Source organism: Homo sapiens, chromosome 4 (assembly GCF_000001405.40).
Source record: "Homo sapiens chromosome 4, GRCh38.p14 Primary Assembly".
Taxonomy (NCBI): Eukaryota; Metazoa; Chordata; class Mammalia; order Primates; family Hominidae; genus Homo; species Homo sapiens.
Genome location: NC_000004.12, coordinates 141,220,343 through 141,235,034, shown reverse-complemented (window position 1 = coordinate 141,235,034; position 14,692 = coordinate 141,220,343). Strand labels below are relative to the sequence as shown.

The following is a 14,692-nucleotide window of genomic DNA, read 5'->3' as shown; positions in this document are numbered from 1 at the left end:
ATGGCTTAACAATGGCCATTCAACCCTGTTATCCTCATAGCTACAATTTTCTCCATACATCTAAAATGTGAGGCAATCAGATATTGTCTCTCCTTGTACAACTACCCAATCCCTATTAAATGCCAGTGTTAAGTTGTAACAACTGGGACTTGTGACAGGACTGTCCTCCACCTATCAATGATGGGGTCTGGGCTGCTTATCTTTAAGTGTATACCACACAGTCTCTATTACCTATTTCCATATGTGTGAAAACTGAAGCAGTTTGTAAAAAAATTAGAATGCTTTCCAAAACAAACTGAAAATACAGAACAAAAAATTAAATATAATGTCAAAAGTATTTAAGTGAAATAATAGATTTATTCAAAGAGAAATAAAATGTCCTGGGTAAAGCTTCTGTAATAATACTATTTCTGATACTGTATCTCTGAAAAATGGCTAACTAGTCACCTTATCAATACATTTAAGGCATCAATAATAGGTACCACTGAGGACATACATTGTGAAGAAAGAGAAGAATAAGTCAAATACTAAAACATACTTATCATGACAACTCAAGGTGACATGAATATTTAATGAAAATTTAGAATATAACAACATATGACTCTCATTCTGTGGACATAAAAGGAAAAATACAGTAATTCATTTTACTCATTACATTTTACAAAATCAGCCCAATGAAGCAGTATTTTTTAATAAAAACAGTAATTTAATTTCAAACAAATATATTACCATCCTATTCCTTTATCTTGTATATATGTATCTAATTGGCAAAACATACTTTACTGAAATCAGTAACAATCCAATCCATGATACTTCAATTGCTTCGATCAATAAACATCTTAAATTTGAAACTCATTTTTCTTATGCCATAAGCCTGATTATCAGTTCTATAAAAACGCTACACCCTATTGCTTGGCCCATTAAGTGTAACTAGTCTTCTGCACAAGGCTAAGTGGCTAAGGTACTTTTGAACAACCACACACAATTCATCAAGCACACACACTCACTCCTGCTCCTCTCACACACGGCCACCAGAGCAGCTCCCCTAGTTCTCTTGTTCCTCATAGTGAGCATAGCCACTAGCATAGGTCCTTCCTAAATTCAAATTAGTAAACAAATCTGATGACTCAGTATCTGAATCCTTTCTGCCTTCATCTTCTTCCTCTTCATCATCCTCTGCTTCATACTCATCCTCCTCCTCATCGTGGTAGCTGGTATCACCATACTTATCAGATGAAAGGTTCTTCCAATAAGCATCATACCCAGAAGCTCCATCTCCCTCTTCACCTCCAGTCTGCCTGCCAAATTTCAGGGAGCGTGCTATAGAAGACAGACAAGTACAAGGCATTTTGTTAGTTCCAGTTCTCTACATTCTCATCTTCCTCTATAAAATTTCATGGATTTCATTGGCTGCTTCAATCCCAAATGAAAAAATAGGTCACATTTTCCTAATTTTTTCACCTGAGTCTATATACAACACCATAAAAAATAAAAATTACAGTGTAATTTCATTAAATCTAGAAAACAAATTAGACCAACAGACCACTCCAAAGGTATTAAGGCATGTTTAAAACAAAAATACCTTCCGTTTGGCCACTGACAGTTTATTTTCAAATCACATAAATCACAGAATACAGCTGATTTCGTATCAGTACATTTTTCTTAAGACAGCTATTTTACAATGCAGATGCCCTTAAAAACAAAGCCTGTCATTTCTTCTGCCTTAATAGTGACACAAAGTTCAGTGCAGAAGATCAGCAAAATCATCAGTCTCACCTCACCATGCAACTACATCTGTGATTAAACAAAGCAGTCAGTCACTTAGAATTATGGTTCCATTCTGATATGTTTGGTTAAGAGTCAAACTTCTCTTTAACAAAATTGCGAGCTGCATTACTATAAGCATGCTTATTCCTTCACAAAAAAAGTTACATAAAAACCATAAAATAATTTCCTATAGTAGTGCTATATTACATAAATAAACATAGGTGCTCAAATATCACACACCTAAGATAGCTTCAGAGTGAATTTGACTTCTAGGTACTTAAAATTACCACCACTTTAATATTAAGGAATTATAGCTACTCAACTATTTAACAAGGAAGACTCAACAAAAATAAAAAAAAATCACTCTTTATCTTAAATTTCAGTATTTGCTGTCATTAACTAAGGCAAATACCAAATATCAAAATGAATATTGGTCTATTTAAGTAAAACTGAAAAACTTTACCCACATATTTTCCTAAGCTGTAAAATTCCACTTGCTTAAAAGAACACATTCATCTTTTCAAATAAGAAGAGGCAATAAGAAAAATAGACCAAAAAAAAAAAAGATAAACTTTGTCTAAGTATGAAAGCAAAAATCACTTCCTTAGTATCTTAAGGGCCTTACTTGACATGCTAAGGTCCTTAGTCTCCTGAGTTTCATGCCCACATTTAGGACAAGGAGGCTGTTTTCCTTTTTCTTGCTTAAACACTTTGCTCCTTGTATGATCATCACAGAAACAAGCCTGTATAGGAGAAGCAAAATAAAGTAAATAAATAAAAATGTAAAAATATACAAAAAGACAGTATTCAGTGTTTTAAAGATATAGCTTTATTAAGGCAGTGAGATTAACAATTTTGTTGGGAGCAGTCACACTTCTCATTTCATTTTCTTAACAGAAATGGTTTTTGTCAGGACCCTTCTGAACAATGATCTAACAAAAGGCAGACTATATTGAGTATGACATGTAAGTACATTTAGCTGTTCACAAATATTTCAGTACTCATAAGGTCCCTGATGAAATGAAATAATGGTGAACAGCCTATTTACTCTCACACAGTGTATGGTCTAACTAGGGATGGAGACAGTGAAAAGGCAATTACAAGACACTAAGCACTGAACGGGAAGTGCAGAGGGAAGGGCACTAAAGCAGACATGGGATTTGGGAAAGGCATCTTAGAGACACGAAGTCTTAATAGCCATATGAAGAATGGGAGGGCAATAGGGTAAGCCAAGATGGAAAAGTATTCCAGACAAAGAAAACACAGATAATGCCTGAACACCATTTGGTAAAACTAGAACAGAGTTGGAAGATAAATAAGACATAGGGTTAGGAATATAAGAACTAGAGAAACGCTTCTGAGAGGAAGGGCATTGGCTGCATCTGTTTAGTAATCTTTGACGAACGAATGCTAGAGACTAGGCCTAAGGACACAGAAAAATTTGGAAATCTTTACCCAAACTCTTCTAAGCAGGTATATTTTGACATTAATTAAAATAGACTCTCATCATCTTGGTCAGAATGTTCTCCACTAAAAACACAGAGCCAGGATTCCAGAGAAATGTGCACTAGCCACAGCTCTACTAAAAGGTGACTGGATGACCATTGGAAAGTCATGTAAGCTTTCTCAACTTCAATTCCACAGTCTCAAAAATAAAAGAATTAGACTACATAATTTTAAGGTCCCTTATAAATTAATTATAGCTGCATATAAGCCAAGGACTGGTGGAGGGGTATAGAGATTAAAAACAAAATCTAAAAAGAAAAAAACGCATTGGTATACCTTACAACGGAGACATGAGTGCTGACCAAGCCGATTGCATGAAACACCTGTGGGAAATAGATTAATTTTAAAATCCCGTTATTTGGTTCTTAGAATTTTCTTTTGTCTTTTATCAAATCACTAAAAGCTTGCAATGGAATATAGCCTTATAGACAGCTGCCTGTCTTTTGGGTTCAAATGCTATAAAACACACAAAGCTCCCATGCTGCAAATAAAATAATTAAATTTATTATTATACATTCTGCAAAAGGCGACGAAAGGCTCAAAAATGCTATATACTTCGAGATGCTCTTTTAATCTGAGAATTTTATATATAAATATTGCAAGAATTATATACACATGCATACACATTGTGTGTCTATGTGTGTGTAGTATGTATGTTGTATGTATATCACAGAGATGACTTATCTACTTTAAATTTATAAATAAGTATAATAATTAGGATTTCATACCAGAACAAGAACCAAATTAAAGGAAGAGAATACCTGGGGAATTTCGGTCTTTTTCCTATAATAGTAACTACTATTTAAAAAGGGCTTTTTAAATGCCAAGTACCACATGCTATTGTTTTATATGGTGTCTCATTTCAATGAACCTTCCAAGAAAAAAACTATGTGTAAAGATGATACTATTACCCAGTCAGCAATGCTGGCTCTCAACTGGAAAATACGTGAGAATTTTGTGTATAGGTTAAATACAGGTGCCTGGCACCCACCACGGACTTAAAAGATAGAATCTCCAGGGATGAGGCCTGGACATCTACATTATTTTTAAAACCTCCACAGGTATTTTTGATATACAGTCCTGTCTAAGAATCACTAGAACCAACTAGCAGAAACAAACAGGGTGGTATCTCTTACGGGAGGGCATTTGGAAATGGGAAGGAAGGGTGAGGTTTGGTTTTTTATAATAATTTGAAGGTAAAAATGACATGTGGTACTCTGAACCACGAAAGGTGTAAGTCCTGCAATGCCTGATCAAATCAAGCCTACAAAATGAAAAACTGGCCCAACCAATATGCCACTGGCATCCCTGCTGAAAAATTTACAACTATATTCTGACTGTTCTGTTTTCTAGAAACAGAAAATAAAGACTGAGTTAAATTACAGTTCATGAGAAGCAGTATAAAAAAACTTGATTCCTTTTTCATTAAGATTAATAATTATACTATTCAGAATCTTGGGTATAAAGAACATCTAATACTTAAAAACTTACATTTAAATGTTTCTGCCTCTAAAACCTGGCAGCTGGCTTGATGCTCAAATTGATCATCTTCACAGAGAAAGTTATGGCAAAAAGAACAACTGAATATTCTGCCTCCTATTGGATTAAAAAAACACAAATGTAATTAAGATAAACTTTAATTTAAAAAAACTCATATCTATAATACTGCTTAGAAGAGATGGTAAGTTACTTTGGAGATACACCAAAATTGTTCAGCCATTTTTATTCTGATAAAAGCTAAAATGAAAACTGTTGAAGTCCTTGAAACTGAACTGAAACTGAGAAAAGGGGGCTCTTACTCTCCACTAGCTACCCATATAACACTCACAATGCTCAAAGAGACTACCTGCTCCACCACAACTTCCCTCCATGTTTGGGTAAACAATACTAGCATTGACAATAACAGACAGTATAGATCCCTTCTCTAACTACACTGATAATCAAAACAGTACCAGTAGTTAGGATTGACAGTATCCTGAAAAAAATCTCAAAAACAGCATTCAAAATGTTTCAAAGTCAACATTCACCTATAACAAAGCTCATTACTTGTGTCTAATGACTCACCATGGTCCCACACGCCTCGTTCACATTCAACACACTCAGCATCGGTAAGAGGGCAGGCACAAGCATGTGTACTGAGACATTTCCTACCATGGCAAACCCAAGCTTCACAGAAGTCACATATTGCACCCTGTAACCAAGGAACAAGAATACATAATCATTATCACCTGACCACCTGCAACCATTCTTTAACCACGGCAACCATCAAAACTGTATACATTTAGCAATTTATCAACCCTCAATGATAGTAGGCCGCTTCATTTAAACATTTTACTACTCACTCTAAGCCAAAAATAAAAAGGGTTCTCTGAAAAACAACTTCTTAACAGCTATCCACAATATACAAAACTCAGTTACATATCAAAAGAAAAAAAGGTAAACTGTACACTTATCCTAATATTATTTAATTAAGCCAAAGAGATGGAAGTATTTTCCTCAAAATGAATTTAATTCAAATAAAGTTTGAAGGAACCAACAGCTTAAGCTTTCTTGTCTATAATAATTCCTGTAACTACACTGAATTTTTAAATACTACCATTTCTGATTTTTAAAATACCTTCTTATCTATATATTTGCATAGCTTTTCTAGAATTACTGAGAAATACGAAACTTCTGCCAGCTTCTTTTTTTCTCTTATGACAACTTATGTTTTAATAATAATTACATTTCTTTGTGGAAAAAATTTGAAGTAAAATATATGGAACTAAAATACAGGGTAAGATTCTCCAATTCTATATCAAGAAAAGACAATAACAATATGTTTCAATAAAACATTGACACCTACCAAATATTAAAAGCTAGAAAGAATCTTAAGAGAGTAGGATCAGACAATCTTTCCTTTATAAAGGAAAAGCATGGGGCCCAAGACTAAATCCAAGTCCCGAGTTGGATTACAGGTGAGGTGAGATTTAAAGCCAGGATTTCAGAATCTCAATTCAGTATTCTATTATTCAAGGCTCTGAAACAAATGTAGTAAACAACAAATAGGAAGAATGTTTTTTGACTTGCAAAAATGGGTTATCAGTATAGCTAGCAAATCATCAACTATATCTCTTGGATCAGCCAGGGTTCTTGCAAAAAAGAGATGGTACTCTCAAACTAGGTAATCTAGAAGAGTTTTAAAGAGATAATTTGCAGAGGACAGGGAAGTTCTTAGGACAAACAGGAGAGGACTACCTGGCCATATAGGGAGAACTGTGGTCCTTAGAGAAAGGATAAAACCAAACCAGGATAACCTGGTACGGAGTGAGATGAAGGAATAAACACCCAGATCTTATTCTCCTGCTATTCTCAGGGGGAATCTGGGGAGGCAAATAGAAGATATCCAGAAAATCACTTTTCTAGAATTTACAACTAAAGATATATGACTCTACTTAAATGTTTTCTTTATGTAAGAAGAAATTATTCACATTCAAAAAACAGTGATTTTAAAAAATGAATTTGGCTGAACTTAAGCTACCAAGGAAGACTGAAAGTGTTTTTGAATAAAGATAACTTGACAATCCTATACTTAAAATAAAGAGCAATTCACAAGATGATAATTCTCGCTCCTTGCTTCTATAATATATGCACATATGAAATATATCATAGGTCTCCCTCATAATAGAAGTTTACATGTTCTTGGAAATTTACCATAAATAAAATATTCCATTTGACATAAATATAGTATCATTTTCCTCATAGATTAAAATTTGAACAAAATTTTATTTGAACATAAAATCATACTGCAATACAGTAAAACTGGTTAACTCATATTTAGAAGGAAAACATGTTTCAGGAAAAAGAGCAAAATACATCACATAATCCAGTTGGTTTTATTATTCAAAAAGCTGAATTTACTTTAAAAAATCCTATATGTAATGAAGAGGTATGTTAAATATATACACTTTTTTGAAATGTAAAGTTTTAAAGAACACTATTATCCTAGGTTCGTTTGGAACTAAGTTGCTTATTTAACCAAAGGCTTAAACGTTGGTTAAGCAGGGCTTTCGGTACACTAAATACTGTTTTGTGAAGTCTGGTTAAGAGATATTAGAAAGGTACCACTGAGTATATACCCAAAGGATTATAAATCATGCTGCTATAAAGACAAATGCACACGTATGTTTATTGTGGCACTATTCACAATAGCAAAGACTTGGAACCAACCCAAATGTCCAACAATGATAGACTGGATTAAGAAAATGTGGCACATATACACCATGGAATACTATACAGCCATAAAAAATGATGAGTTCATGTCCTTTGTAGAGACACGGATGAAGCTGGAATCCATCATTCTTAGCAAACTATCGCAAGGACAAAAAACCAAACACCGCATGTTCTCACTCATAGGTGGGAACTGAACAATGAGAACACATGGACACAGGAAGGGGAACATCACACACCACAAACCGGGGACTGTTGTGGGGTGGGGGGATGGGGGAGGGATAGCATTAGGAGATATACCTAATGCTAAATGACGAGTTAATGGGTGCACCACACCAACATGGCACATGTATACATATGTAACAAACCTGCATGTTGTGCACATGTACCCTAAAACTTAAAGTATAATAATAATAATAAAATTTAAAAAAAAAAAGGTACCACTGAGAAATGAAATTCTGTTTAGATCAGCATGAAAAGTTTCCATGCCTTGTATGTTCCCTAATAAGAAAGAAAGAAGCAGCTAGAAACAAGTGGGTACTAAGGGAAAATCATACAAAAAGCATGCCACTCATAATCCAGATAACTACAGATTGATTGAAACAAGGGACAAAGCAATGATATTTAGAAAAAAATAACCACTGATCAGAATGACATTTTCTTATCCTTGAAAACGTACTAGTCTAAGAGATAATAAGAAGCTTACCACCATTGCAAGGCCAGTACTGTATACACCAGCATGCTTTATGACACAGTCTGAAGACTTCATCATGCACTTTGTTTTCCCTAATGAAGAAAAACATTTGCACTGTTAGTCTTGCAAAGGAATACATACCAGTACTCACGAATTCCTCCTTTTATCCAGCCCAAGTTCCTGAGGAAATAATTTAAAAACTAATGAAATTGAATCAGTATTTACTGCTTACATAACTAGAAAGAGAAAATGGATATAACTGAGACTTCATTACTCGAATCAGACTTTTCAGATTATACATTTACTAATAAATCTGTAAAATGAACTATACAATATATATGCTAATTTGTACTAAATCAGAAATTGCAGGTTATGCTTTGTAATCTAATGATCATTTTAACAGTTTAAAAACTTATCAATCTTCAGATTATTCAAAACAATTTTTAAAGGAATGCTTTTTATAACAAATTTTACATTTTATAATTCACAATAAAAACTGTGGTTTGAAGTTATTTCTTTCCACAGAATAATACCTCAAACCAAACCAAATAATGATTATGTAACTTATCGAGTTAATGTAATTTTATCCAAACATAAAAATTTACAACGAAGCCCCCAGTTAAACATTTTCCCAACAAAATTTTGAAATAGTGCCCAAATAAGCACAATAAACAATACGGTGATACAGCTACAAATCACCACACAGCCACTAAACCTCTGATCTAGAAGCAAATTAAATTACCAACTCAAAACACTATCAGGAAATTTGCTTATCAGATATTATGTGAGAGTTAATGATGACATTAATCATCCATCTGAGACTCCACAAAATGGAACACAAAAGAAACAATTTTCCGTTATCTTGATTTCCTAAGGAACAAAGTTAGTAGGAAATGGGAAGAGAAACTGGAAATGAGAGGCAGCAGCTACCCAACTGTTCCATGTCCAACACTAAGAATCAGTAAATGAGAAATGTATCCATCTAACAACACTACAAAATTTAAGCCCAGAGACACTGAAAATAGGGGTAAGTCCTAGCAAGAACTTACCTATTAATCTTCCACAAACTCTGTTTCCTCACTCTACATTCATTACTTTTTGCAAAACAAGGCTATGAAAACTACCATATGAGTGTTCCATATAGGCCAGTTTTCTCTTTTTCATTAATTGTGGAATTGAAAAGATCTTCTTTGAAAGCTAGAACTACATTAGAAATATTCAGGGATATAGCCCTAAACACTACTAACTTTCTGGAATATTATTACATATAAACACACTTAAATGAGCATACCCCAAATTGTTCTACCTGAAATTATTATTATTATCTCATAAATAAAAGCAATACTTGTTCATCAAAAGTTGGGGGGGGATGTAAATCTAGAGTAATAAAGTTAATTGGGTTTCTTTGTTGCAAGTCTTCAGAACTTCTAACATATAAATATATAATAGAAATCTCCCAGATGAGAATGAAAGGAGGATGCATGCAGTATTTCTCAAATGTATATCGATATATATTTTTCAAGAAATATCCATTAATATTTCAGGAAGTCTGTGGAAGACTATTTGGGAAACACCCATCTTGCTAACATTTAGTTTTATTTTGTATAATCATTTTGGGGTACAAGTCTCCACCTATACTTAAGAACCGGGCACATGACTTAAGAACTCTATTTAAATCACCTGGGAATACATGTGAGGAAACTCATGAATCATATGGTAAGCATCAAACACAAAAACTACTGATCACAAAATAAGTACCAGGTAAATGTGGAATAAAATTATTCCCAATGGTCTAACACACTGCAGGTAATATCAGCAGGAATCAAAATGTAGATAAGTAAACAAACAGATACTGACAAGACTAAGGTAGTATAACTAAAAGTTCAGGATCACCAAATGTTATGTCTGAAATCTGATCTTTCACTGTTTAAAAACACTTATTGGTAACCTGTATCTAAATTGTACCTTAATTATTTTCCAGCATTACATCAAAGAGACAAAACCAAGGCTTGATAGTTTTTTGGTAGGCAAAATAACATGTTTTGTTATTTTGTTAATGGTAAGGCATAATATTATCAACAATTGTAAGCACTGTAACCAATAGCAACAAACCCACCCAAGTTCAAATTGTTGAACTACCAGTTGATAAAAAGCATATGTCCTTAATTATTACAAACTTACCACACTGTGCACAAATTGGTAACTTCTGTACAGAATTACAAAAGTAGCAAAATGCTCTATTCTTCTGCCGCCTTGTCATGTAAAATAAAATTTTAAATTATGGTCAATGTCAGATAAAAAGTCAGAGGGACAATTTTATTAAAGGTAGATAGAAAAAGAAATAAAATTTACCTCTGACACTTGTCACATTCCTGTAACATATAAAAATATCACATTAATTTTTCTGCTGACTGAAAACTGCAAATTTACTTGTATTACAAAGAATAACCTGCTTTTCAGGTTAAAATTTAAGTGACACTACACCAAAGCCCCAACTCCACCCATGTATACAAGCACCTACCCATGCTTAAAATAACAAAGGTATGCGAGAGTGATACTCCGGGTATATGATTCCCTGAAGAAGTGGCATTATCACAAAGGAGGCTAAATACATTGGTAGTTTCTTTTTCAATTGTTTGTAAGGAATAAAATACCACAGAATGAACACAAGAACTATCCTTTTGATAGTTAAGTACATTCTAAGCCTTATGAAACGTTAAGCACATATTATTCCAAATGAAGTGGGTGACCCTTAAAATAATGCATTTATCTAAGGCACCGTTCCAAAGAGAATACAAAATAATAAAGTTCACAGAAAATCCAGATTCCTAAACATGGTTTTAAAAGCTCTCCACAATCTGGCCCCTAATCACTTTCCAAACCTTCTTGGCCTATTCTTTTTAGACTCAAGTCACTAATGGTCAGCCATTCTCCAAATATGTCTTATATTCTCTCTTCTCCATGTCTTTACTTATTCGAACACTTTTCCCTGAAAAGTGCCTCCTACCTGTTGAAAGTTCTGGTGAAAATCCCACCTCTTCTGTGAAGTGTACCCCTTCCACACACAGCCAACTTTATCACCTCTTAGTCCTAATAAATACATTGTACCTTTATTGAAGCACTTCCAAAATCTAGCTGTCATTATATATATTTAGGCATGCCAGTCATTCAGAACCTCTCTTCTCTGGAAAGGACTCTTAAACACAGAAGACAGCCTCACTGTCACATCTGCGCTATGTAATCTGTCCTCACCCAACCAACCCCAATAAATGTTAGCCCTGGGACAGGCACTGGGTGAAGTCCAGCCTTTCAGAGTTCTTTCCTTCTCTGAGGCACAATATGTGATGTGAGACATGCAAGCTACCTGTAACTATGAAACCCAACAAATGGAGTAAGACAATATGAAAAAATGGAACTAATAAGGAATAAGAAACAAAAGCAAAAGATAGAACTACAAGTTGTTCCAGGTTCCAATTGTCCCCGAGTCCCAGGTATATCCTTCCCCTTCCCAGCAATATGAGTTATTCCATTATCCATTCAATAAACTATTTTTCCCTAAGATTAATTTAAGTTAGATTTCTGTCATTTATAAACAAACAAATCCTAATATACAACATAACTGAGCTATAAACTTCTGGAAATAGAGACCATGTAATTCATCTATGTATCACTACCCACAGTGTCTGAAATAATACCTGGCACAGAGTAGATGCACAATAAACGTTTGCTAAACTAAGCTACATTAAACAATTCATGTATGTTTGACAAAAGGAGAAGGAAAAAATAGGAACAGTGGGAAAAGAAAAACAAAGAAAGGAGTGGAAATAGAGAGAACCGGAATAACTCTACAGTCAATGAAAGAGGTAATGATGACCTAATTGTTTGCTTTTTCGCATATTTCAAAAAGCATATTTCAAAAGCAGCCACCATTCAAAGCAGCCCAGAAATTATCAGGACTAACCCACTTAGCACAGGTAGATAAGGTAATAGAATGGGAAGCCAACAGATGTTAAGTAGGAAGTTCAGAAAAGAGAAATGAAAGAATTGCTAAGAAAATATGATGAAAACCCAATAAGACTAAGGCATTAAAGAAACTGGAAGATGAAAGTTTCTATTATCTATTCTTGTCCAATATCTACCTTTATCACCAACAGTATGTAAAGTAATATGCTAGGTTTTATAATAATATAAAATCCAACAACAATCACTGCCACTCAGTGAAATCAACAGACGTGCCAGAGATACTAAATTCAGCAACAAACTATATGCAAAAACACTGTCTTCACTAAAATTTTATTCAGGTATACGTCAGATAAAATAGTATATAGTTTTTCCAACTACCAACTGATATCAAAAAAAGCTGATACCATTGAGGCATTACATGGATGTTTAGCTAAATCTATAGTGCTTCTTGATGCTCTTAGTTGTTTTTCACGTTCTCGGCGGTTCTCAGCCTTCTTCCTCGCACCAGTCTTTTTTTTAGGCATTTTCCCCTATTTTGACACAAGAGAACAGAAAAGATATAATTGACTGACTGCATTTACTATTTTAATAAACTAAGAAATAGTATAACAAAGTGTCCTTTTTCTTGTTAAATGTTAAACTCTATCCTTTCGATAGTTAAGCACATTCTAAGCCTTATGAAACGTTAAGCACATATTATTCCAAATGAAGCGGGTGATCCTTAACGCATTTATTGGCACTAACGATTCTAAAAATGTAAACGTCAAAAAAATTTACCCTAAAAGACAAACTAGTCTTCTTTTCCCACTAAGAAAAAAGTTTCTCCAATGATAAAGTATTCTGCACCTCATTAAAACAAATGAATCATGTATCATTAGCAAAAACAAAAAAATCATTAATAAGAGCATTATTTAGCCAGTTTATATCACTTTTTTGAGCTATATATTCAGATGACCTGACGCTGCCAACACCTTAAGTATAACAAGTTTAATTTTTCCTATGTAATATGTAAACAAAACATCTAACAGTCAACAAATAACACTATTTATTAACTACAAAGTCAAAACATTCTGAAGATATTTAAGGTATTAGTTGCTCTGACTTTAACAAATGCTCTTCCCTCTACACGCAGTGAGCATGTAATTTTAACGGGGTTCAAATTTACGTTTAAGAGTATGTTTAATTTTCATCATTTAGTTGAAATACAAGATTTTTCTAAACTGAAGTTTTCTGAACTGAATGCTCAATTAAAAAAAAAACAAAACAGGTGGTAAGCAGTACGGTAGCAACTGAAAAATAGCCAGATTTAATAGGTGGTTATTTCGGTAACGTAACGCCCAGACCACTAAGGCACCATTCCAATATGTAAAATGACAAAATCTAGAGGGCGTGCTGCCCTGGCCAAAGAACCTCAGAAAATAATCACGAGGTGATCATGCGGATTAACTTTCTGCGTCCTCAGAGATATCCTCTGAATCCTCTGATAAAGTTAAATCTCATTTTTTTTTCCCTCCAGTTTGTTCTGCACGCTCAAAAGAGTGAATCTTCTTCTCAGCCTTATACGGGTTCAAGCCCTTTTCCGGTAACACTCCAACTTCTTGCATGCACTGCGTGTGTCACCAAATGAGGAAACAGGCACGGGGCACTGCGGCTTTAGGAGTCCAGCCTGGAGCTGGAGGACCCAGTGGGGCGGAGGGGCGTCCAGGGGAGAAGCGGCGGAGGTGCCAGGCGGCTCGGGGACCCGCAACGGGGACCCGCAACCGTCACCCGCCCGCGGGACACCCTACCTCGTGCGCGCTCCGGGCAAACCTCGCTCACTTTCGCCGGGAGACCGGACTCACTCAGGGGGCCGAGGGACAGGGAATGGCGTGAGGCCCACCCGCGACAGCAGTAAATCCAACTCGTGGACCAGGACTCCGGGAAAGAAGGTACTAACAGCCAGGGAGGCTGACAGCCGATTCCGGACACTAGGAGACGGACCGGACGTCCTTTTACGACAGCAGCGCCTTACGGCTGACGTCATAGGACGGGAGCCGCCCACCTCTGTTCGCTCCGCCCCTTCCCCGCCCACTCCTGCGGGGGCCAATGCCCCATTCCTAAGCAGAGGATCTGCAGAAAAGGAAGGGAATGCGAGGGAAAATAGGGAAGCAGAAGGAGGGAAAGCAGGGGAAGGCCCCCTCAGTTTTACTTTTTTAGAAAAAGGAGAAATCTAAAAGGAAGAGGAAAATGAACTCACAGACTTGGTACTGGATCAATTGACTCAAACAGCAAATTCATGTTGAATTCTGTTGGAAACCTTTCCCCACCTCTACATCTTGCGTGCCTCACATCCCACCTTTTCTTGGTTGCTGCGCAAACTGTGCCTTCAGTTGCCTGATGAACTTCCGTACCAGCCTCCCCTGTCTCTTATTTCTGTTATGCCCTCTGGATTCCATTCCTTTGTGAACAAATCATCCCACATTCTCTACCTCTAATGTGTAATCTGCCTGCTTTTAACTGAAACCTGATGATCCTCCCCCTGCATCAGAATCTCCTTCCGATCAAGCACCTCCA

The 14,692-nt window shown here is 35.5% G+C and overlaps 1 protein-coding gene across 5 annotated transcripts, besides 2 other annotated features; it reads right to left on the bottom strand.

The window, feature by feature from the left end:
* Positions 1-337: 337 nt before the first annotated feature.
* ZNF330 (zinc finger protein 330) lies at positions 338-14,500 on the bottom strand. 5 transcript variants are annotated; one of them, XM_017008033.2, is made up of 10 exons: positions 14,376-14,500; positions 12,544-12,669; positions 10,529-10,548; positions 10,358-10,428; positions 8,189-8,268; positions 5,338-5,464; positions 4,765-4,869; positions 3,550-3,596; positions 2,393-2,510; positions 338-1,320 (listed from the first exon to the last, which is right to left on the bottom strand). In XM_017008033.2, the coding sequence occupies exons 2-10, from the start codon at positions 12,661-12,663 to the stop codon at positions 1,046-1,048; spliced, it is 963 nt and encodes a 320-aa protein (XP_016863522.1). In that variant the 5' UTR covers positions 12,664-12,669; positions 14,376-14,500; the 3' UTR covers positions 338-1,045. The 5 variants fall into 5 exon arrangements, with proteins under 5 accessions (XP_016863522.1, NP_055302.1, XP_024309754.1 ...); NM_014487.6 differs by lacking the exon at positions 14,376-14,500 and adding an exon at positions 13,927-14,140; XM_024453986.2 differs by lacking the exon at positions 14,376-14,500 and adding an exon at positions 13,958-14,140.
* Positions 13,344-13,848: an enhancer, noted in NCBI's record as "H3K27ac hESC enhancer chr4:142142341-142142845 (GRCh37/hg19 assembly coordinates)". NCBI's record gives its function as "activates a minimal SCP1, AML or CMV promoter by ChIP-STARR-seq in naive H9 embryonic stem cells {active_cell/tissue: H9 hESC(naive)}" and the evidence as "EXISTENCE:reporter gene assay evidence [ECO:0000049][PMID:30033119]".
* Positions 13,849-14,355: an enhancer, noted in NCBI's record as "H3K27ac hESC enhancer chr4:142141834-142142340 (GRCh37/hg19 assembly coordinates)". NCBI's record gives its function as "activates a minimal SCP1, AML or CMV promoter by ChIP-STARR-seq in naive H9 embryonic stem cells {active_cell/tissue: H9 hESC(naive)}" and the evidence as "EXISTENCE:reporter gene assay evidence [ECO:0000049][PMID:30033119]".
* Positions 14,501-14,692: the final 192 nt, after the last annotated feature.

Excerpts from the sequence above, each read along its gene's own strand:
- ZNF330 (XM_017008033.2), bottom strand. The coding sequence starts at position 12,663 with ATGCCTAAAAAAAAGACTGGTGCGAGGAAGAAGGCTGAGAACCGCCGA. Across the intron at positions 4,870-5,337 it reads ACGAGGCGTGTGGGACCATG|GAGGCAGAATATTCAGTTGT; the intron begins GTGAGTCATTAG and ends TTAATCCAATAG. Across the intron at positions 3,597-4,764 it reads AGAGGCAGAAACATTTAAAT|GTGTTTCATGCAATCGGCTT; the intron begins GTAAGTTTTTAA and ends TATTTCCCACAG.